The 22573-nt window shown below is 44.6% G+C and overlaps 1 protein-coding gene across 17 annotated transcripts in view; it reads left to right on the top strand.

The window, feature by feature from the left end:
• The window catches only part of SCAP (SREBF chaperone), a 63447-nt gene that overhangs the window by 22859 nt on the left and 18015 nt on the right, over positions 1 to 22573 (top strand). For 8 of the 17 annotated variants that reach the window (XM_011533501.2, NM_001320044.2, XM_005264967.3 and 5 more), the window contains 2 exons: positions 11178 to 11397; positions 19132 to 19261. In XM_011533501.2, the coding sequence (XP_011531803.1) occupies positions 11276 to 11397; positions 19132 to 19261 (252 nt within the window). In that variant the 5' untranslated portion in view covers positions 11178 to 11275. Of the gene's footprint in view, positions 1 to 5095; positions 5164 to 9852; positions 10048 to 10560; positions 10845 to 11094; positions 11398 to 19131; positions 19345 to 22573 lie in introns of those variants that run through there. The other 9 variants (XM_047447738.1, XM_047447734.1, XM_047447744.1 and 6 more) reach the window with 7 other exon arrangements.

Below are 22573 nucleotides of genomic sequence, written 5' to 3'. Positions count from 1 at the left end.
CAGCCTCCCGAGTAGCTGGGACTACAGGTGCCCGCCACCTCGCCCGGCTAATTTTTTGTATTTTTAGTAGAGACAGGGTTTCACTGTGTTAGCCAGGATGGTCTCAATCTCCTGACCTTGTGATCCGCCCGCCTCGGCCACCCAAAGTGCTGGGATTACAGGCATGAGCCACCGCACCCGGCCTGTCTATTCTTATCTTAAAAGGATGAGGGTTGAATTTTATCAGATGTCTTCAGCATTGGCAGAGATGATCTCTGTTAATATGTTGAACATAACATTGTTTTAACATTAGTACTTACATGTTTCTGGTACAAAATGAATAGGATGATGTTTAGAGAAGGCTTATGGAGGAAATAGCATTTTATCTAGTGCCTGAAGGCTGAATGGAGAAAATTAGAGGTGGGAAATTAGAGTGGGAAGATAGGAAAAGGGCATTCAGTAAAGAGAGAGCCTTGACTGCAAAGGTGTGGAAAGTGGGAATGTAGGTTATTTTGGGGAAGAATGCCAGCATCCCAACATTACTGTGATATTCATGAGGGCCTTCTAGATGGGTAACATGGGGGCGTATTACACCTCTGGACTTCAGATTCTTCCTTTGTGGAACTGAAATAGTAAAAGTAGTTATTAGTTTAAGGGTTGTTACAAGGATTCAGGAGATAATGTAGGCAAAAGTCTTAGGCCAGAGGCTGACACATGGTTTATAAATACTAGTTATTTTTATTTGACAAGAGAATAAAGCTGGAAAGAGGTTTCAGTATATTTTGAGTGTACCTGTATAATAAGCAAAGAAGTATGGCCTCAGATATGCAGGCACTGGAGAGCCATTCAGAACTTTTGTGCAAGGGGTGACATAAGCAGGTCTTTTTTTTTTCCATTAAAAATTTTTTTTAAAGAGATGGGGTCTCACTATGTTGCCCAGACTGGTCTCGAACTTCTGGGCTCAAGCAATCCTCCCATCTCAGCCTCCCAAAGTGCCGGGATTACAGGTGTGAGCCACTGTGCCTGGCCATAAGCAGGTCTTTATTTTAGGAAGCTGTCCATGCTGACCATGTGGGAAGACAAACCAGAAGTGAAGTGCAAATGCAGGTAGCAAAATCAGGTAGGAGACTATTAGAATTTTTCAGGCTGGTGGTTTTGGATATCTATCACTAGTCCAGTTCATTTTTTATTTTTTGAGATAGGCCTTGCTCTTCTGCCCAGGCTAGAGTGCAGTGGCGGAATCACAGCTTACTGTAGCCTTGACCTCCTGGGCTCAAGCAGTCCTTCCCACTCAGGCTTCCAAGTAGCCAGGACTACAGTCATGAGCCACCACAATTGGCTAATTTAAATTTTTTTTTTTTTTGTAGAGACAGGATCTCTGTATGTTGCCCAGGCTGGTCTTGAACTTTCCTGGCCTCAAGCAGTCTTCCTGCCTCAGTGTCCCAAACTGCTGGGATTACAGACATTAGTTAGCTACGATGCCTGCCCTGCTCGTCCAGTTTAGACATATGTTCAAGATGTGGGCACCATAGAGTTGACTTAGGCAACTCTTGGGCTCCAGGTTTGGTAGGGCAGTGTTTCTCAAATTTGAGCATATCACTGTCAGCTGGAGGGTGTGTTAAATAGAGATTTCTGGGCCTCACCGCCAGATTTTCTGATTCACCAGGTCTGGGATAGGCCCAATAATTTGCATTTCTAACAAGGATTTAGATTGGGACATTTGTGAAGAACAGGATGGATGAAGTGTTCCTTGTTTATGATTTCATTCAGAGAGAGGGGATTATTAGCTCTCTTTCTTCCAGAATGCCTGAGGTGCTTTGTATCACAGTTAGAAGTTGAGAAGATATGTACTGAGCACTGTCCTAATAATATCTGATCCTGGTTGGGTTGGTTGGTTTGTTCATCACTTATTCAACAAGTGGTTTGTTTTCAGAGACAGGGTCTCACTGTGTTGCCCAGGCTGGCATCAAACTCCTGGGCTCAAGGGATTGTCCCACCTCAGTCTCCTGAGTAGCCGGGATTATAGGTGCATTTAATAAAAATTTAACATGCCAAGTGCTATTAAAGACCCTGAAGAACAGACAGGGAGTTTATTTATAGTCTTGACAGAGGACAGATAGTAAACCAGGGAATAAGTCATTTGTACAATTACAGAGTTTTAAATGCACTGAAAAAGAAGAAATAGGCTCTGTAAGGAACAATAAAGAGAACTACTGGAAAATATATGGTCAAGGGAGGTCTTTTTGTAGAAGTGATATTTCAGCTGAGACTTGAAGAATGAAAAGGAACCAGCCTATAAAGAGAAGAGGGAATAGAGGATGGAACAGTATGTGCCAGGCCCCTGAGATGGGAATGAGGTTGGCACACATAAGGCATTGGAAGAAACCAGAACAGGGAGAGGTGACACGAAGTGAAGTTGCAGAGGACCGGGGTGGGTTGTGCAGAGCCCTGAGAGCTAGGGGGAGGCATTTGGGCTTTGTTCTAAGTGCAGAAGGGTATCCAGCTCACAGCATTAGTAGAATCTGTGTCCACTCTGACCTCTGAGATAAAGTGAATTGTAAAGGGATAGGTAGGAAGGGGTCTATGAGGGCCAGGCATGGTGGGTGGCTCAGCCTGTAATCCCAACTCTTTGGGAGGCTGAGGCAGGAGGATTGCTGGAGTCTAAGAGTTTAAGACCAGCCTGGGCAACATGGTAAAACCCCATCTCTATTAAAAATACAAACATTTCGTTGGGTGTGGTGGTGCACGCCTATAGTCCTAGCTACTTGGGAGGCTGAAGTGGGAGAATTGATTGAGCCTGGGAGGTGGAGGCTGCAGTGAGCCATGATCGTGCCACTGCACTCCAGCCTGGGTGACAGAGTGAGACCCTGTCTCAAAAAAAAAAAAAAAAAAAAAGGCATTCCAGGACTGTTTGAATATTTGAATATAAACATGTATATTTTTACTTTTATAATTGAAAAATAGTCAGCATTGGGGCTCATAAAGGGGACCTTTGGGGTAATGTTCTGTTTCTTGATGGAATGGTGTTTAGGTTACATGGCTTTGTTTACTTGGTGGTAATTCATGGAGCTGTGTGCTTATAATTTGTGTGCTTTTCTGTGATATGTTATACTAAACTTCAAAAGTTTATTTAAAATAGTCTTGCACGGTGGCTCATGTCTGTAATCCCAACACTTTGGGAGGCTGAGGCAGGAGGATTGCTTGAAACCAGGAGTTCAAGACCAACCTGGGCAACATATTGAGACCCTGTCTCCCCACAACATTTTTTTTTTTTAATTAGCTGGCCATGGTGGCACATGCCTGTAATCCTAGCTACACGGGAAGCTGAGCTGGGAGGACTGCGTCCAGGAATTCAAGGCTACAGTAAGACATGATAGTGCCACTGTACCCCAGCCTGGGTGACAGAGTGAGACCCCATCTCTAAAAAAAGAAAAATAAATAAATGCTTATAGTGAAAAATGTAAAGATACTGAGATTTGAGTTTAAAAATTTCTCTGCTGGGTGTGGTGGCTCACACCTATAATCAGTTTGGGAAATTGAGGCAGGAGGATTGCTTGAGCCCAGGAGTTTGAGACCAGCCTGGGCAACGTGGCAAAACCCTGTCTCTACTAAAATTACCAAAAATTATCTCTCATGGTGGTACGTGCCTATAGGCAGGCTAAAGTGGGAGGATCACCTGAGCCTGGGAGATTGAGGCTGCAGTGAGCTGTGATCCTGCCACTGCATTCCAGCCTGGGTGACAGAGTGAGACTCTGTCTCAAGGAAAAAAAAAAAAAAACCCTGCATATAATCACATTACACAAAGACAAGCAACCACTACTAACGTTTCCCTCTATTCTCCTTTTGTGCACTTTTTGTATATAATTTTTATTTTTTCAAATTGTAAAAGTAATGTGTGCTTTTTGTAGAAAACTTTACTACATGCTTCTCACAATGAAATGATGTGATTGACAGAAAAATGCCAGTAGGCGTAGTGTGAAAAGTTTCCTTAGGGCCAGGAGCAGTGGCTCACACCTGTAATCCCAGCACTTTGGGAGGCTGAGGCAGGCAGATTCATTGAGGTCAGGAATTGGAGACCAGCCTGGCCAACATGGTGAAACCCCGTTTCTACCAAAAATATAAAAATTAGCTGGGTGGGGTGGCGCACGCCTGTAACTCCAGCTACTTGGGAGGCTGAGGCACAAGAATTGCTTGAGCCCAGGAGGCGGAGGTTGCGGTGAGCCGAGATCACGCCACTGCACTCCAGCCTGGGTGACAGAGCAAGACTCCATCTCAAAAAAAGAAAAAAAAGTTTCTTTGAAGGCAAAGAATCCTGAAATGTAGGAAGATTATCACATTAAAAAAATTTAAGAGTTCTGATGTGATAAAGATGGAGTAAACATACTCCACCCTTTATGTCTGAAGAGAGCAACTGAAATCCCTGGACAGAATGCATGGATCAGTGGAGTAACCCCAGAAAGATAAATGTTAGCATGCGAATTGGAGAAGGAAACCAGAACTCCAAATACCAGTGAACTGGTAGTGAGTTTCCCATAATTTTTTTTCCTCCATACAATATTTTCCAGCCTGCACTTAAAGTCAGCCCCAAACCTGGAAATGTGTGCTGGATGTGCACAGAAAGAGGTCTAACAGAAGCCATCTTTCTAGTTTGAGGAGCAGGAAAGGGGATCCTCATGGGTCAGGAATGGGGATGGAGGAAGAAATCTCGTGTGTTGTTTGCTTTGTCTTTTCTCCTTTTCTCTTGCTCTGGCCCTCCACGTAATTGTGTAGTGGTGGAGACAGCAGTGACATTGGCAAATGGATAGGAGAGGAAGTCTTCTATTTAAAGGGACTGTGGTCCCAGGAGCATGGAGGGAATCCTTGATTTTGTTCTTTCCTTTCTCTCATTGCTTTTCCTTGGAGGTAGTCACAGTTGTGGGAGGTACTCAGCAGGTTAGGGAAATTAAACCCCTGACTTTTAGCCAGAAGACCAGGAAAGGGGCCCTTGGGATCTGGAAAGTGTTAGGAAGATTGTGTAGAGGAAGGAGCTCAACAAATTGAACTCATAAAGTTGCATATGAACTCTTGGGCTGTTCCTCAGAACTAACATACGTGCATCTGACCCTAAACAGCATACCAAAGGCTTTGAGGACCAAACTGTGGAGTACATTACTGCTCAAGTAGTTCTGCACTGGCCCCTGGACGGTATGCTTGGGAAAAATCAAAATAATACTTAAAAGGCTTTGAAAACTGATATCATATTGGTACCACAGCCCACAGAAGGTGGGTAGGAACTTGTGGACTGGACCTAATTAGGTTGATTGCTGCAAAGACAAATTCAAAATTTTACGTGGGACTTAAACAAGAGCTAGAGTCACATAGCATAATATTCAAAATGTCCAGTAATTCAGAATTACTTCAGCTATGAAAAATCAGGAAAATCATAAGGGGAAAAGACAGCCAACAGATGGCAACCACAACATGACACAGATGTTGAAATTATCAAAAAATTAAAAGCCAAAGTATAATTAAAGTATTAATTAAAACCTTGCTATAACAAGTAAGGGTGAATGCTCTTGAAATGAACAGAAAATCAGAAATTTATTTACTGCAAAATATGACAACCTAAATGAAAAATTAATTGGGTGGGCTCAATAGCAGAATGGAGAAGACAGAAGAGTCAGTGAACATGAAGGTAGAATAATAGAAATTATCCAGTCTGACCAACAGAGATCGAAATAAAATGAAAAAAAAAAATGAACAGAGCTTCAGGGACCCATGGGACAATAACAGAAAGTTTATCTTTTATGTTTTTGAAGTCTCAAAAAGAGAGGAGAAAGAGTGGTGCAGAAAAAAATTTGAAGAAATTATGGAAAGGAATAAATATGTTTCTGTTCACAGATAACATGATAAGTCTACGTAGAAATTTCCAAAGAATCCACACACACACACACATGCAGAAAGACTCTGGCACTAATAAGTGATTTCAGGACAGTTGCAGGATAAAAGATTAACATAAAAAAATCAATGTACTAGCAATGAACATGTGAAAATCAAAATTGAAAACATAGTTGCTAAAAAGTGAAATGGTAGGTATAAATCTAACAAAACATGTACAGTCATGTATGCTGAAAACTATACAATGCTGATGAAAGAAATCAAAGATCTAAGTAGATGGAAAAATATACCATGTTCATGGATTGGAAGACTCAACATGCCAGTTCTTTGCAAATTTGATAAACAGGTTTAATGCAGTTTCTATCAAAATTCTATCAAGTTTTTTTTTTTTTTTTTTTTTTTTTTTTTTTGAGACGGAGTCTCCCTCTTGCCCAGGCTGGAGTGCAGTGGCACTATCTCAGCTTACTGCAACCTCTGCCTCCTGGGTTCAAGCGATTCTCCTGCCTCAGCCTCCAGAATAGCTGGGATTACAGGCACACGCCACCATGCCCGGCTATTTTGTATTTTTCATAGAGACGGGGTTTCACTGTGTTGGCCAGGCTGGTCTTGAACTCCTGACCTCAGGAGATCTGCCTGCCCTGGCCTCCCAAAGTGCTGGGATTACAGGCATGAACCACCACACCTGGCCTTTTTTTCTTTTTTCTTTTCTTTTCTTTTTTTTTTTGAGTCAGAGTCTCGCTGTATTGCCCAGGCTGGAGTGCAATGGCACAGTCTTTGGCTCACTGTGGCCTCCGCCTCCCGGGTTTAAGCAATTCTCCTGTCTCCGCCTCCCAAGTAGCTGGTATTACAGGCACTCGCCACCACACCCAGCCAATTTTGGTATTTTTAGTAGAGAAGAGGTTTCACCATATTGGCTAGGCTGGTCTTGAACTTCTGACCTTGTAATCCGCCCACCTTTGCCTCACCAAGTTCTAGGATTACAGGCGTGAGCCACCGCGCCTGGCCTTTTTCTCCTTTTTTGAGACGGAGTCACAGTCTGTCACCTAGGCTGGAGTGCAGTGGCGTGATCTTGGCTTGCTCAACCTCTGCTTTCTGGGTTCAGGTGATTCTCAGCGTACCAAGTAGCTGGGATTACAAGTGTGTGCCACCACACCCAGCTAATTTTTTCTGTTTTTAGTAGAGAAGGGGCTTCACTGTGTTAGCCAGGTCTCACACTCCTGGCCTCAAGCGATCCGCCCACCTCGGTCTCCCAAAGTGCTGGGACTATAGGCGTGAGCCACTGTGCCTGGTCCAGACAACTGCTTTTTGACAAAGATGCCAAGCAATTCAATGGAGGAAGGATAGTCTTTTCACCAAATGGTGCTGGAACAATTGGCTATCTTTAGACCAAAGGGGAAAAAAAGGAATTTATATCTCACACCTTATCTAAAAATTAACTCAAATGGATCACAGATTTTTATTTTTATTTTTTGACACAGTCTCGCTCTGTTGCCCAGGCTAGAGTGCAATGGTGTGGTCATAGCTCATTGCAGCCTCAAACTCTTTGGCTCAAGTGATCCTCCCACTTCAGCCTCCCAAGTAGCTAGGACTACAGGCATGTGCCACCCTGCCCTGCTAATTGTTAATGTTTTTTTTTTTGTAAAGACACGGTCTCACAGTGTCCAGGCTGGTCTCAAACTCCTGGTTTCAAGTGATTTCCCACCTCAGCCTCCCAAAGTGTTGGGATTACAGGCATGAGTCACTGCACCCAGCTGGATTACAGACTTAAACAAATGTGAAACTACAAATTTTTAGGAGAAGACATTGGGGAAAATTACCTTATGACCAAGCAATTCCACTCCTAAGAATGAATATACTCAAAAGAAAACAAAAAGAAAAAAAATACAAAAACCCCAACTGAAGAACAACAACAACAAAAAAAGTAAACATAAGAATTGAGGGGGGCCAGGCACGGTGGCTCACGCCTGTAATCCCAGCCCTTTGGGAGGCGAAGGAGGGCAGATCATGAGGTCAGTAGTTCAAGACAAGCCTGGCCAACATAGTGAAACTTCGTCTCTACTAAAAATAAAAAATTAGCCGGGTGTGGTGGTGAGTGCCTGTAGTCCCAGCTACTTGGTAGGCTGAGGCAGGAGAATCACTTGAACCCAGGAGGTGGAGGTTGCAGTAAGCTGAGACTGTGCCACTGCACTCCAGCCTGGGCGACAGAGCGAGACTCCATCTCAAAAAAAAAAAAAAAGGTTGGCCAGGTGCAGTGGCCATGCCTGTAATCTCAGCACTTTGGGAGGCTGAGGCGGTCAGATCACGAGGTCAAGAGATTGAGACCATCCTGGCCAAGATGGTGAAACCCCATCTCTTCTAAGAATGCAAAAATTAGCTGGGCGTGGTGGCGCGCATCTGTAATTCCAGCTACTCAGGAGGCTGAGACAGGTTAATTGCTTGAACCCAGGAGGTGGAGGTTGCAGTGAGCTGAGATCGCACCACCGCACTCCAGCCTGGTGACAGAGCAAGACTCTGTCTCAAAAAAAAAAAAAAAAAAAATTGAGACAGGGTGTGGTGGCTCACACCTGTAATCCCAGCACTTTGGGAGGCCAGGCTGGCAAATCATCTAAGGTCAGGAGTTCTAGACCAGTCTGGCCAACATGGTGAAACCCCATCTCTACTAAAAATACAAAAATTAGCCAAGTGTGGTGGTGTGCACCTGTGCTCCCAGCTACAAGGGAGGCTGAGGCACGAATTGTTTGAACCACCGGAAGGCGGAGTTTACAGTGAGCTGAGATCGCGCTGCTGCACTCCAGCCTGGGCGACAAAGCAAGATTCCGTTTCAAAAAAAAAAGTTGGAGTTCGAGACCAAGTAAACAAGAATAATGTGGCCTGGCGTGGTGGCTCATGCCTGTAATCCCAGCACTTTGGGAGGCCGAGGCGGTGGATCACCTGGTTAGGAGTTCGAGAGCAGCCTGGCCAACATGATGAAATCCCATTTCTACTAAAAATACGAAAAAATAGCTGGGCGTAGTGGCGGGCACTTGTAATCCCAGCTACTCAGGAAGCTGAGGCAAGAGAATCGCTTGAATCTGGGAGGCAGAGGTTGCATTGAGTGGAGATTGTGCCACAGCACTCCAGCCTGGGCAACAAGAGCAAAACTTTATCTCAAAAAAAAAAAAAAAAAAAAGAATTGAAAACAGGTATTCAAACAAATACAGGAATGTTAGAATGTTCATCACAGCACTATTCACAATAGGCAAAACATAGAAACTGCCCAAATGTTTATCAACTGATGAATGGACAAACAAAATGTGGCATACCCATTTGATGAAATATTCAGCCATAAAAAGTAATGAAGTGGCTGGGCTCGGTGCCTCATGCCTGTAATCCCAGCACTTTGGGAGGCTGAGGCTGGCGGATCACTTGAGGTCAGGAGTTTGAGACCAGCCTGGCCAACATGGTGAAACTTGGTCTCTATCAAAAATACAAAAATTAGCCAGGTGTGGTGGCGGGCACCTGTAATCCCAGCTACTTGGGAGGCTGAGTCAGGAGAATAGCTTAAACCCAGGAGACAGAGATTTCATTGAGCCAAGATTGTGCCACTGCACTCCAGCCTGGGCAACCCCATCTCAAAAAAAAAAAAGTAATGAAGTACTGGCCGGGTGTGGTGGTTCGTGCCTGTAATCCCAGCACTTTGAGAGGCTGAGGCAGCTGGATCATTTGAGCCCAGGAGTTTGAGACCAGCCTGGAAAACATAATGAGAACCTGTCTCTACAAAAAAATACAAAAATTAGCAGGGCATGGTGGTGCACACCTGTAATCCCAGCTACTTGGAAAACTAGGTGGGAGAATCACTTGAACCTGGGAGGCAGAGGTTGCAGTGAGCCAAGAGAGTGCCCACTGCACTCCAGCCTGGTCGATAGAGTGAGATTCTATGTCAAAAAAAATAAAGGGTTCCTGGATTGGAAACTTGCATGTGCGCTTAACGCTTCTGCTTTCGGAAAGGTAGAACGAGCAATAGGCATTCCTTTTGGCTTTTGAGTTGGCTGTGGTGTGACTCCTTTTGCTTCTTGTTTCTGATCTTGACACTTATGAGGAGTCATCTTTGAGTCTGGGTTTTCATCAGTGAGTACAGTCAAGCCAAGAAATGTGTCTGGGCAGGTTCCCTCTAGCACAGACCGAAGAAAACAGCAACATGGAACAAGAGAAGTAGGTTTAAACTTGGATTCCATCAGAGGGCTCAGTAGGGAAGATAATTCTAGATCCCTGGGCCTCCTAGAGTTTTCTATTCTGATTTTATTGGTTTAATGTTATTTGTTTGAAAGCACCAGAAATTAACTTTGGCCAACATAAGCAAAAAGATAATTTATTAGAAGGGTATAGAATAGCTTACAAAACGGAAAAAAAAGTTGATGAGCCAGTCCTCAGAAAGGATGGGAGCCAGAACAGCCTGGGGATCTTGGGAGCAGGAACCTCTGTGGGATGAATAAACATCATGAATATCCAAGTTCCTGTTTGTTTGTGTTTAGAAGTCAAAGTCCAGGGAGAGAGGCCCAATTTGTGTAGCTTGGGTCGGCACGGGGCACCTTGACTCATAGTTAATCCAGGTTAAATCCTGTGGAGCGAGGTGGTTCCCCTGAGCCATACCAGGCTGCTGTTAACTTATGGAAGGGGACGGGTACTGGGCAGGCAGGAACAGGAGCTGCTCTCTGCCTTTGCACTCCCAGGAACAACTATAGGACCAAGAGCAGAGAGTTCTACCAGAGTGAATTTTGCTTGGTGACCATTATGTCAGAGACCTAAGCTTTTTAGCGTTTTTATGTTGAGGGCTGACCTCGCTAGACCTTCTTCACGAGTGAATCACTATTTGTACAACAGTGTGTTTTGAGGAGGCCATCCCTATGTAAAGGGTTTCTCTGTATCCCTATGTAAAGGACTTTTCTCAGTGGGATTTGTGCATAGAGGAGGGGGGGGAAGAATGCCTGTTTGACAGAGAGCAGCTGAAGGTGACGTCTGTTACACAGGCATGGTTTCGTGTGCCACACATGAGAAAAATGCCCTTTGGGGAGTGGCCTTTTAGCATTGCCTAATATAGGAGGGAGGGAGTTGGGCGGGGAGGGAGAGAGAGAGAGAGAGAGAGAGAGAGAGAGAGAGTGTGTGTGTGTGTGTGTGTGTGTGTGTGTGTGTGTGTGTGTGTATTTTGGGATTGAGGTCACTAGACCTTGCATATAGGCATTCTGAAACCATTCCCCAGCCACATAACTATCGCCTCCCTCCAGCAGCCCTAGTGTGCAGAGCCAAGTACTCTTTGTTAACTGGCTTTTCTCCCTTCTTACCAGGTACCTGCACATGTTGTTCTTTGTCAGTGCTGTCAAGTGTGTGCCAGGGTGATCCATGGTCACTTTCCGGGATGGCAGCAAGGTGACTTCGGCTGAGGATGACCCTGACTGAAAGGCTGCGTGAGAAGATATCTCGGGCCTTCTACAACCATGGGCTCCTCTGTGCATCCTATCCCATCCCCATCATCCTCTTCACAGGGTTCTGCATCTTAGCCTGCTGGTATGTTTTTGGGTTGCCTTGGATATGGTGGGCCAGTGTCTTAGGACAGTAGGTTTTCTAACCCTAACCACTATGGAGCCCTTGGCCTCTGTATGCTTTTTACACAATGGGAGCTTGGGCTCCTTATAACTGTGAGTGGAGAACTCTAGTCCTGGCCTGGTTAGCTAATATAATAAAATAGTCCTGGCTGGCCCTGACCTACTGATTCACCAGATTTATTCATATCACTGGTACTCTATCTCAAAATAATGTTTAGATACTTCTAAGACACTGAAATAATTGAAAGATATGATACTTCAGTTTTCTTTCTCAATAGTAGTGGTTTCGTTTTAGTACCTGGTTAAGTGCAAGAGCCTTTTTTGTGTGTTGCGAGGCAAAGTCCATTAGAACAGTATCTTGGACAACCTGTGGCAGGCTAACCTCAGAGACTTGCTTCTTTGCTCTCTAGTCATTTTCTTGTGTTCACATGGAGCTTGCTTCAGACTTCTTGTTGATTCTTGTGGCCAGCTGCACTTGCCAAGGACAGTTGTGAGAGCTGTAGCTGCCCTTGTTCCTGTCTGTCTTTCTCAAGGCCTCATAGAAGCCTGAAGGCTATGGCTGACAATGACGTCGTAAAGGAGGAGTTTGATATGAGATGACATCTGATGACCCTTTTAACTCTAAAATGCTGACAGCTGTGAAAAGAGCCCATCTTATTCTTTTCTCTGGAAAGAATTCTGTTCTTCAGATTCATTGTCTAAAACATTTATAGATGTTTTCAGTGCTATGCTGAAGGGAGGATGAGAAGTCAGGAGGGAACTCCCTGTTCAGTTCAGTTGCTAATGATCTCAAGCTCTTCCCTGATTATCAGTAAGAAAGATGAACTTTGGCCAGGTGCAGTGCTCATACCTGTAATTCCAACACTGGGAGGCTGAGGTGAGAGAATCACTTGAGGCCAGGAGTTCAGGATCAGCCTGGGCAACATAGCAAGACCAAAAAAAAAAAAAAAAAAAAAAAAGAAAGATGAACATCACTGAGAGTTTCTTGCTGGGTGCTGTGTTGATGCTTCAGGTATAACATTAGGAAGTGGTCCAGTTATGTTTCCATTTAACAAAGAGGGGTAGGGACTTAGAGATTTGTCTGGTCCACATAACTAATAATTAGGGAAACTGGGGTTCAAATTCAAATCCAAGCCATAGGGACTCTGGTGCCCGCCTGCACCTGTGTTACTGTCACCTGGTTTCACTCTGGCTCAGTATGTTTGTATTGGTGTTTAAACTGCTAAATTGTGTTGTACAAGATAAAATACTTATAGCTGTGTCCCATAAGTGATGAATTTGGAGTGCTCTAAGAACTCAGCTCTTGGGTTTTTTTTTCCTTTAAGTTAATTGACCTTTCTTTTTTCTTCTTTAAAATAAGTTTTTTGAGACATGGTCTCACTCTGTCAGCCAGGCTGGAATGTAGTGGCACAATCACAGCTCACCTCAGCCTCAACCTCCTAGGCTCAAGCGACCCTCCCATCTCAGCCTCCTAAGAAGCCACAACCACAGGTGTGCGCCACCACACTTGGCTGTTTTTCGTCTTTTGTAGAGATGGGGTCTCATTATGTTGCCCTCCTTTGGTTTTACTCTCTGATGGTACTATGGTTTCCTCTTTTGTAGTCACCCTGTTTTTCTTTTAAGAGGAAAGACCTGGCCGGGCGTGGTGGCTCACGGCTGTAATCCCAGCACTTTGGGAGGCCGAGGCGGGCAGATCACGAGGTCAGGCGATCGAGACCATCCTGGCCAACATGGTGAAACCTCGTCTCTACTAAAAATGCAAAAATTAGCTAGGTGTGGTGGCCTGCACCTGTAGTCCCCGCCACTCGGGAGGCTGAGGCAGGAGAATCACTTGAACCCGGGAGACGGAGATTGCAGTGAGCTGAGATCGCGCCACTGCACTCTAGCCTGGCGAAAGAGTGAGACTCCATCTCAAAAAAAAAAAAGAGGAGGAAAGACCCTTCTGTATTATCCCATTCTTTTTTTTCTTCCTTGAGACAGGGTCTCGCTTCCGTTGCTCAGGCTGGAGTGCAGTGGTGCAATCACTGCTAATTGCAGTCTCGACTTCATGGGCTCAAGTGATTCTCCTACCTCAGCCCTCTGAGTAGTTGGGACTATAGGCGTGCACCACTAATTTTTTGTATTTTTAGTAGAGCTGGGGTTTCGCCATGTTGCCCAGGCTGGTCTCAAACTCCTGAGCTCGTGATCCCCTCGCCTTGGCTTCCCAAAGTGTCGGGATTACAGGTGTGAGCCACCAAACCTGGCCTTGTACTGTCACATTCTTAGTGCTGTGTACTTATTTTCCCAAATGAGTATCTTTGTCATGTGATCTTAAAGTTTTTTTTTTAATTTTGTTTTTTTCTTAAAACCTGATTGACTTGAGAAAATTTTTCCAAGGCTGGGTGAAGTCTCTCAGCCTCCAAAGACTAATAAAAGGTTGTATAAGAGAATCCATAGATTCTGGGACTTGGCCAGAAAACCAGAGATCATGGACCCAGGGACACAAGCCTCACCATTGTCTTCAACCCACTGAAGCTTTTCTGTCCAGAGCAGCAGAGCAGTGCCCCCTTCTTCCAGAGCCTGGGATTGCCTGCAGAAAATAAAGTATGGATATAGACTGCTTCTAGTAGTTTTGCTAGACATTCAGTTTCCATTTAATTGCTTACCTTTTATTGTTCCTGGGATGAAAGACTTGTACAGCCAAACCCAAAGGACTGCTGCACTTAATTTCCCTATTCAGATCTAACAGCCACCTGAGCTGCAGAAATACTTTTTGCACACCACTGGCTCACCACCACTGGGTCACCCCAGGGAAAGTACAGAGCAGTACTGGGGGGATGGTGATCAATGACAGCTTGGGAATGTGCCTGTCTCCATCAGGCAGAAGAATCCAGGGAGTGAGAGAGGGCATCTGTATATGCATCAGGCTCACCCCAAACAGCACTGAGGATGTGTGACTTTCTTCTCTGAGCTGCTGTTGAGGCTGCAGGTTTCAGTGACTGAGAGCCAAGGACACTACTTCAAATGAACCCAGTGCTGAGCCTTGCAGGTGAGCTAGAGTTAGCTGTTCTTCCTGCCTGGCCCCTGGGTGCAGTGACTGTTCTTTCCTCTGGGAAAATCTGATGAAATGTGTAGCAAATAGGCATTATGGCAAGAGGTGTCTGTTTATAACTCTTGGAGGTTAGACCACTGGGCCCAGGATATGTCCCAGCAGCAGCCCAGCAAGACAGAGGGTACTGTTAATCTGAACCTGCCCTGGTAAGCAGTGGGTGCGCCATGGGATAAAAAGAGCACCCAGATGCCATGTTAGTTGGACTGCCCTATGTGCAGGTCAGAGAGTGATGTGAATCATTGAGACATTTGATTCAACAAGCTGCTGCTCATGGTGAGAGGTGGATTTTAATTTGGAGAGGAAATTGGAATCACATTGTGTTGTTTTTGATTTTGAGACGGGGTCTCACTCTGTCGCCCAGGCTGGAGTGCAATGGCACAATCATGGCTTACTGCAACCTCTGCCTCCCAGGTTCAAGTGATTCTCTTGCCTCAGCCTCCCGAGTAGCTGGGATTACAGGTGTGAGCCACCACGTCCGGCTATTTTTTGTATTTTTAGTAGAGACGGGGTTTCACCATGTTGGCCAGACTGGTGTCAAACTCCTGACCTCAAGTAACCTGCCCACTTCAGCCTCCCAAAGTCCTGGGATTATAGGCATAAGCCACCTTGCTCAGCCTAGTCATGCATTTTTGACTTAGGATATTTTCAATTTACGACAGCGTTATCAGGACATAACCCCATCGTAAGTCAAGATGTATCTGTACATATCAAGTGCTTAGAATAGTGCCTGGCACATATTAAATATCATGTATGAGTTTTTCATTGTTATTATTCACTGTCTTCCTAGTCTTCTACCTTCACAGCCAGAAAGCACAAGCAGAATCCAAAAACATGTATAGTCTAAACATAGAACAAAAACTGACTATACTCTGTGATTACTATGCAAACGCTGTAGCCACAGCCTAAAATTTTTTTTTTTTTTTTGAGACAGGGTCTCCCTCTGTTGCCCAGGCTAGAGTGCACTGGCATGGCATGATCTTGGCTCACTGCAACCTCCACCTCCCGGGTTCAAGCGATTCTCCTGCCTCAGCTGCCCGAGTAGCTAGGATTACAGGCGTGTGCCACCGCGTCCGGCCAATTTTTGTTTTTTTAGTAAAGACGGGGTTTCACCATGTTGGCCAGGCTGGTCTTGAACTCCTGACCTCACGTGACCCACCCACCTCGGCCTCCCAAAGTGCTGGGATTACAGGCGTGAGCCACCGTGCCCAGCCTAAATTAACTTTTTTTTAAGTGAAAGCAAGTTTATTAGAAAAGTAAAGGAATAAAGAATGGCTGCTCCATAGGCAGAGCAGCCCTAAATGAATTCTGATCACTTGTAGTCGTTTCTCTCTTCCTACTTAGAGCATCTTGGAGGCAGACCGTAGTATTATCTTTTGTATTCTCAGTTCCCAGCATATAATACATACTTAATAAATGGTTTTTGAGTGTAGGTAAAGATGGAAAAGCCAGAGAAAAGTAAAAATTGATTTTTGTGAAGGTAAGGAGATTGTGTAATTGTTTTCTGTAATTAACATAATAAATGTATTTAAAATATTCAAAACATGGTATTGTCAAAAGACTTGAAGAGGCGTTTCACAAAAGTTGCTATATCCAAGTGGCCAGTAGTAAGTAAATGAAATAATTTTTTTAATTGTTTCTTATCAGGAAAATGTACATTAAAACCATGCTGAGATACCACTGTCTCTTCCTCTAAATGGTTAACATTAATTGGACTGACAGTATCAAGAGGTGACAAGGATTTGGAGAAACTGGAACTCCTATTACACTGGTGATAGTGGGAACATAAATTTGTACAACCGCTATGGAAAACTGTTTGGTATCATCTACTAAGCTCAATGTGCATATAACTCCATACCCAGCCATTTCATCCTAGGAATATACCCGACAGAAATAAGTGCTTATGAGGCCACCAAAAACCAATAAAGGATAATAGTTTTATTCTTTTTTTTTCTTTTTTTTAATTAAAAACAATTATCCAGCCCAAAATGTTTTGTTTTTTTGAGACGGGGGTCTCACTCTGTCACCTAGGCTGGAATGCAGTGGCATGATCATGGCTTATTGCAGCCTCAGCCTCCCGGCTCAAGCGATCCTCCCACTTAAGCCTCCCGAGCTGGGACTACAGGTGTGCACCAGCATGCCTGGCTAACTTTTGTATTTTTTTTTTTTTAGGGATGGCGTTTCACCATGTTGCCCAGGCTGGTCTCAAACTCCTGGGCTCAAGAAATCCTTCTGCCTTGGCCTCCCAAAGTGCTGGGATTACAGGCATGAGCCACCTCACCTGGCCAACTTTATTCTCCTTTTTTTTTTTTTTTTTTTTTTTGAGATTGAGTTTCACTCTTGTTGCCCAGGCTAGAGTGCAGTGGCGCCATCTCAGCTCACCGGTTCAAGTGATTTTCCTGCCTCAGCCTTCTGAGTAGCTGGGATTACAGGCATACGCCACCACGCCCGGCTAATTTTGAATTTTTAGTAGAGACAGGGTTTCTCCCTGTTGGTCAGGCTGGTCTCGATCTCCCGATCTCAGGTGATCCACCTGCCTCAGCCTCCCAAAGTGCTGGGATTACAGGCGTGAGCCACTGTGCCTGGCCCAACTTTATTCTTAATAGCTCAAACCAGAAACAGCCAAATGTTCCTCAACCAGTGGAATACACAAATGCACTATACTTTATTCATTAGTGGACTAGTATGTATCCAAAAAGCAATGATCTGCTATGTGCGCCAGTGTGGAGAATCTAGCAGATAGAATTTGAGTGAAAGCAGCCAGTCACAAAAGAGTATATAAGTAGAATGAATGGTTTCATTTATATGACATTCAAAAATAGGTAAAACTAATTTATGGTGATAGAGATTCTAACAGTTACCTTTGGTGGTGGGGAGTGGTATGCTGTTGACTGGGAGTGGGCACAAGGCTGCCTTCTGAGGCTCTGGAAATATTCTATAGCTTGATCTAGATAGTAGTTACACAGATATACACATGTAAAAACTTACTGCACTTTATACTTAAGATCTGTGCATTGTACTATATAGAAGTTATTTCTAAATTTTAAGAAAGTGAGATCTGAAACAAAATGTACATCTATTTGCCAACTTTTTCTTTTTTTTCTTTTTTTTTCACTTGAGATGGGGTCTCACTGTGTTGCCTAGGCTGGAGTACAGTGGCATGATCTCAGCTCACTGCAGCCTCTACCTCCCAGGGTTAGATGATCCTCCTGCCTCAGCCAGTAGCTGGGACCACAGGTGCACACCACCATGCCCAGCTAATTTTTTGTATTTTTGGTAGAGATGGGGTTTCACTGTGTTGCTCAGTCTGGTCTCAAACTCCTGAGCTCAAATGATCCGCCCGCTTGGCCTCTCCCAAAGTGTTGGGATTACAGGCTTGAGCCACCGCACCCAGCTTATTTGCCAACTTTTTGATGAAAGGTCAGGGCTTTTCCTTGCGTATATCGGGTCCATTAACTTAACTTTCCTCATGATCCTAGTATAAACCACATCCTTAGTTAATTATACATAATTTTCATGGTCTGTCCCTTTAAGTGGAATAGTTGCTTAGCTATCTGAATTGGAATCCTTCTGGATTTTTAAAGGTACCCCCACTTTTGTTTTTTATTGTTCCCTTATATCTAATTTGGCAAGGTGATTTTTTTTTGTTTGTTTTTAGCATCTTGCTTTTATTAAGTCTCTGAAAACTTTTTTCTTTCAGAGACAGGGGTCTTATGTTGCCCAGGCTGGAGTGCAGTGGTATAATCATGGCTCACTGCAGCCTCTACCTCTAGGCTTAAGCAGTCCTCCCACCTAAGCCTCCTGAGTAGCTGGGACCACAGGTTCACATGGCCATGCCTGGCTAATTTTTTTGATTTTCTGTAGAGATGAGGTCTCACTATGTTGTCCAGGCTGGTCTCAAACTTCTGGGCTCAAGCAGCCCTCCAGCCTGGGCCTCCCAAAGTGCTGGGGTTACAGGCATAACCCACTGCGCCCAGCCTGAAAATATTAATATAATGTTATATATTATAACATGTTGGTGTTTCCTTTCAGTAAAAGTTACTCATTAAATGTATAAACTAGCCAGGCACGGTTGCTTACGCCTGTAATCTCAGCACTTTGGGAGGCTGAGGTGGGTGGATCACCTGAGGTCAGGAGTTTTAAGACCAGCCTGGTCAACATGATGAAACCCCGTCTCCACTAAAAATACAAAAATTACCTGGATGTAGTGGCAGGCGCCTATCTATCTGTGTGTGTGTGTGTGTGTGTGTGTGTGTGTGTGTGTGTGTGTGTGTGTATGTTTATATTATATATGTTAATGTTATATATAATGTTATAACTAAGTATATTTATACATACTTAGCTTATACAGCCTGAAAACATTTAACAGAACAGTCTATTTTACCAGTTGGGCTTCTTCGTAAGGTTTATGTGACTAAAATAAGTTTGAAAAATTCTAATCTAGATGACTTCTGAGTTTCAGCTTTGCAATTTTGTGATTCTAATATTTTGCACATTTGTACAGTCCTGACAGAATTTAGTTATTAACTCCAGTGGCTCCTGTGTCAGTGCTGAGAGAGGACTGCCTCTCATAGTGTCTAATTCTTATCTCCTTTTTGTACATCCCAGCTACCCACTGCTGAAACTCCCCTTGCCAGGAACAGGACCTGTGGAATTCACCACCCCTGTGAAGGATTACTCGCCCCCACCTGTGGACTCTGACCGCAAACAAGGAGAGCCTACTGAGCAGCCTGAGTGGGTGGGTACTCGTCATGTTCCTGAGGCCAGCACAGAGCGTTGGGTGGAGACTGGCTGAGGCAGGGGTCTGCCAGTGAGATTGAGGTTGGTCAGCTTCTGATTTGTGAATTCATGTACTTTAACAGCTTTATCAGTGTACCATATAGATACTTAGTTTATACATTTTTTTTTGAGATGGAGTTTTGCTCCTGTTGTCCAGGCTGGAGTGCAATGGCACAATCTCGGCTCACTGCAACCTCCGCCTCCCGGGTTCAAGTGATTCTCCTGCCTCAGCCTCCCGATTAGCTGGGACTGTAGGTGTGCGCCACCACGCCCAACTAATTTTGTATTTTTATTAGAGATGGAGTTTCACTATGTTGGCCAAGCTGGTCTCGAACTCCTGACCTTGGGTGATCTACCCGCCTTGGCCTCCCAAAGTGCTGGGATTACAGGCGTGAGCCACCGCACCTGGCCAGTTATTTAGTTTGGAACTCTAGGTCTCCTGACCCCAGCCCACTCCTCCTTCTGGACTGTACTGTTTTCAGTTGACTGTCTCTGGGCCGAACACTGATATAAATGAGAAAAAAGGTCTTCAGTTGAGGGGCTCAGTCAAGGGACCTAACTCACCATCACACCGCACTCATTATTTGGAGCTCATTGAAGCTTGACTAGCTCATCTGTGTACCTTTTGCCTGTCAGGTGTGGACAAAGTGCCCTTTCTTCTGTGTTGTTCTGTGGTCCCTGGATTCGTGCTGGACTTGCTGAATCTGTTGTTGAGGAAAACCAAAGCTCAGCGAACAGAGCTCTCCTCCCCCTTCTCTCTGACAGTCATAGCATATTCCCATTTCCTTTTTGGTTAACGTAGTAGTCAGGTAACTTGTTATGAACTTGACTCTGCGGCTGAAATAGAGGCATATCTGGCAAGATAGGTCTGTGGCACAACTATACATGGTGTCAGTGGGGAGTGCACCACCCTGGCTTCATGAGGCTCTGCCTATGAAGGTCAAAGGATGCATGGTCTGATGCTGGCTGAAACCAGTTTTGTGGTGAAACCAGTTTTGTGGCTTTATGTCCCAGGTTGGCCATTGGCTCACTGGCTCATTGTGGGACCTTCTTGCTTAAACCTTTTACCTTCATTAACCATTTTTTTTTTATTGTTTTGAGATGGAGTCTCACTCTGTTGCCCAGGGTGGAGTACAGTGGCGTGATCTCAGCTCATTGCAACCTCTGTCTCCTGGGTTGAAAGCGATTCTCCTGCCTCAGCCTCCTGAGTACCTGGGACTACAGGCATGTTGCCACCACACCCGGCTAATTTTTGTATTTTTAGTAGGGGTGGGGTTTCACCATGTTGGCCAGGCTGGTCTCAAACTCCTGACCTCAGGTGATCCACCTGCCTCAGCCTCCCAAAGTGCTGGGATTACAGGCGTGAGCCATTGTGTCCGGACTTCATTAACCTTTTAATGCAATGTTAGCACATAAGGGAATATTTGTGTTTCCTGACTAGGAGAGTTCATTTGGCCCATTGGTGTGGAATAGATGTTTAATGATGAGGCCGTAAGGGGTGTGATGTGTTTGTGAGCTCTTTGAATGATGGGATGATGATAGAAAGTGTTGGTGCAGAATAACTAGAGGGCTCGGGAATCAGGAGCATTGTCCATTTCCTCTCTCTCTGATTGGAGCGCTCATCCCCTGCAGGATTGAGAAGGAGATGGGCCCAGGGCAGTCACCTGGTGTCACACAGCTCAGTGGTCAGTTATCTCACCTCCATTGGCTGTCCTTGATAAAGATACAGGCCAGCGATACTGAAGTGGGTGGTAAGGACTGTTTTAGTTATGAAGAACAGGAAATTCAACCCAAATCAGAGTAAGTGAAAGGGAATTTTTGGTTCATATAACTCAGCCAGGTGCAGGGCTGACTTAAGCACGATATAGTTTGAGCCTCAAAAGGAGTCCATCTCTTGACTTTGTCCTCTCTGGGTCAGCTTCACTTTTGGTCTTCCCAACAGTGGCCCTAGCAGCTTCAGCCCCATGTTTTTGCATCATCCAATCCAGTGGAGGATAAAAGGGAGCCCAGTTGGCTATGAATAGGGTTACCTGCCTGTCCCCTTCCCAAGCCCTATGGCTAAAGGCAGGTATTTCATTGTTGTTGTCAGCACCTTGCTGGGAATGAGAGAGGATGGTTTCCAAAGGGACAATAGGGCCGGGTGCAGTGGTGCATACCTGTAATCCCAGTACTGAGGCAGGAGGATCGCTTGAGCCCAGGAGTTTAAGGCTGCAGTGAGCCATGATCACACCATTGCAGTCCAGCTGGGGCAATAGAGTGAGACCTTGTCTCTAAAAAAATAAAAAATAAATAAATTTTAAAAAAGGGAAAATAGGAGACTCGGGCAGTAGACAGTACATTGCAGGCATCTGCTGCCTATACGAAGGAGCCAAAACTTCCTTCCCTACTCGACTCACTGCTGAGTTCAGCACTCGTTTATTGCATACGCGTGGTGTGGGATGATGTGGGGGACAGATAGAGGCTCACTGTCCTTGAGGAGATCCTATACTGTTTGGAAAGAGAAGACAAAGATTTTTCAAAGTTTAAAGTAAATATAGTGTATGTCAAAGAGACATAGGGGGGCAATCGAAAGAGCTCCCCAGTGGTCAGTGCTAGAGCAATTTTTTTTTCTTTTTTTTTTTCCTTTTTCTTTTCTTTTTTTTTTTTTTTTTTCAAGACGGAGTCTTGCTTTCGCTAGGCTGGAGTGCAGTGGCGCGATCTCAGCTCACTGGAACCTCCGCCTCCCGGGTTCAAGTGATTCCCCTGCCTCAGCCTCCCGAGTAGCTGGGACTACAGGCACGCACCACCACGCCTGGCTAATTTTTTGTATTTTAGTAGAGACGGGGTTTCACCATGTTGGCCAGGATGGTCTTGATCTCCTGATCTTGTGATTGATCCATCCGCCTCGGCCTCCCAAAGTGCTGGGATTACAGGCGTGAGCCACCATGCCTGGCCTAGAGCAATTTTTGCAACAAAATAAACTGGTATTGAATTAAGACCCAAAATATAAAATAATTCTCTGTGAGTCCATTCCTGAGTCCATATGCTTGAATAAATATAAATAAATGAATGGATGACAATAGACAAATCTCCTGGGCAAAAAAATTCTAAGTAATGTATCCTAAAGTGTGGACTATGCATGATGACTTTCTTCCAAAGAGGACAGTGTGACTGTGGGAAAAAGTAACTTTACAGTGAAGAAGCCTGACAGACACCTCCTACAGTAAGTGATTGGGGTTAAAGCAGCAGTGATAAATCACATTGATTGATTGTGCCCTTGATATGTGAGGAG

Source organism: Homo sapiens, chromosome 3 (genome assembly GCF_000001405.40).
Source record: "Homo sapiens chromosome 3, GRCh38.p14 Primary Assembly".
In the NCBI taxonomy this organism is placed as follows: domain Eukaryota; kingdom Metazoa; phylum Chordata; class Mammalia; order Primates; family Hominidae; genus Homo; species Homo sapiens.
The sequence above is the reverse complement of the archived record's forward strand: the minus strand, read 5'-3'. Positions and strand labels throughout refer to the sequence as shown.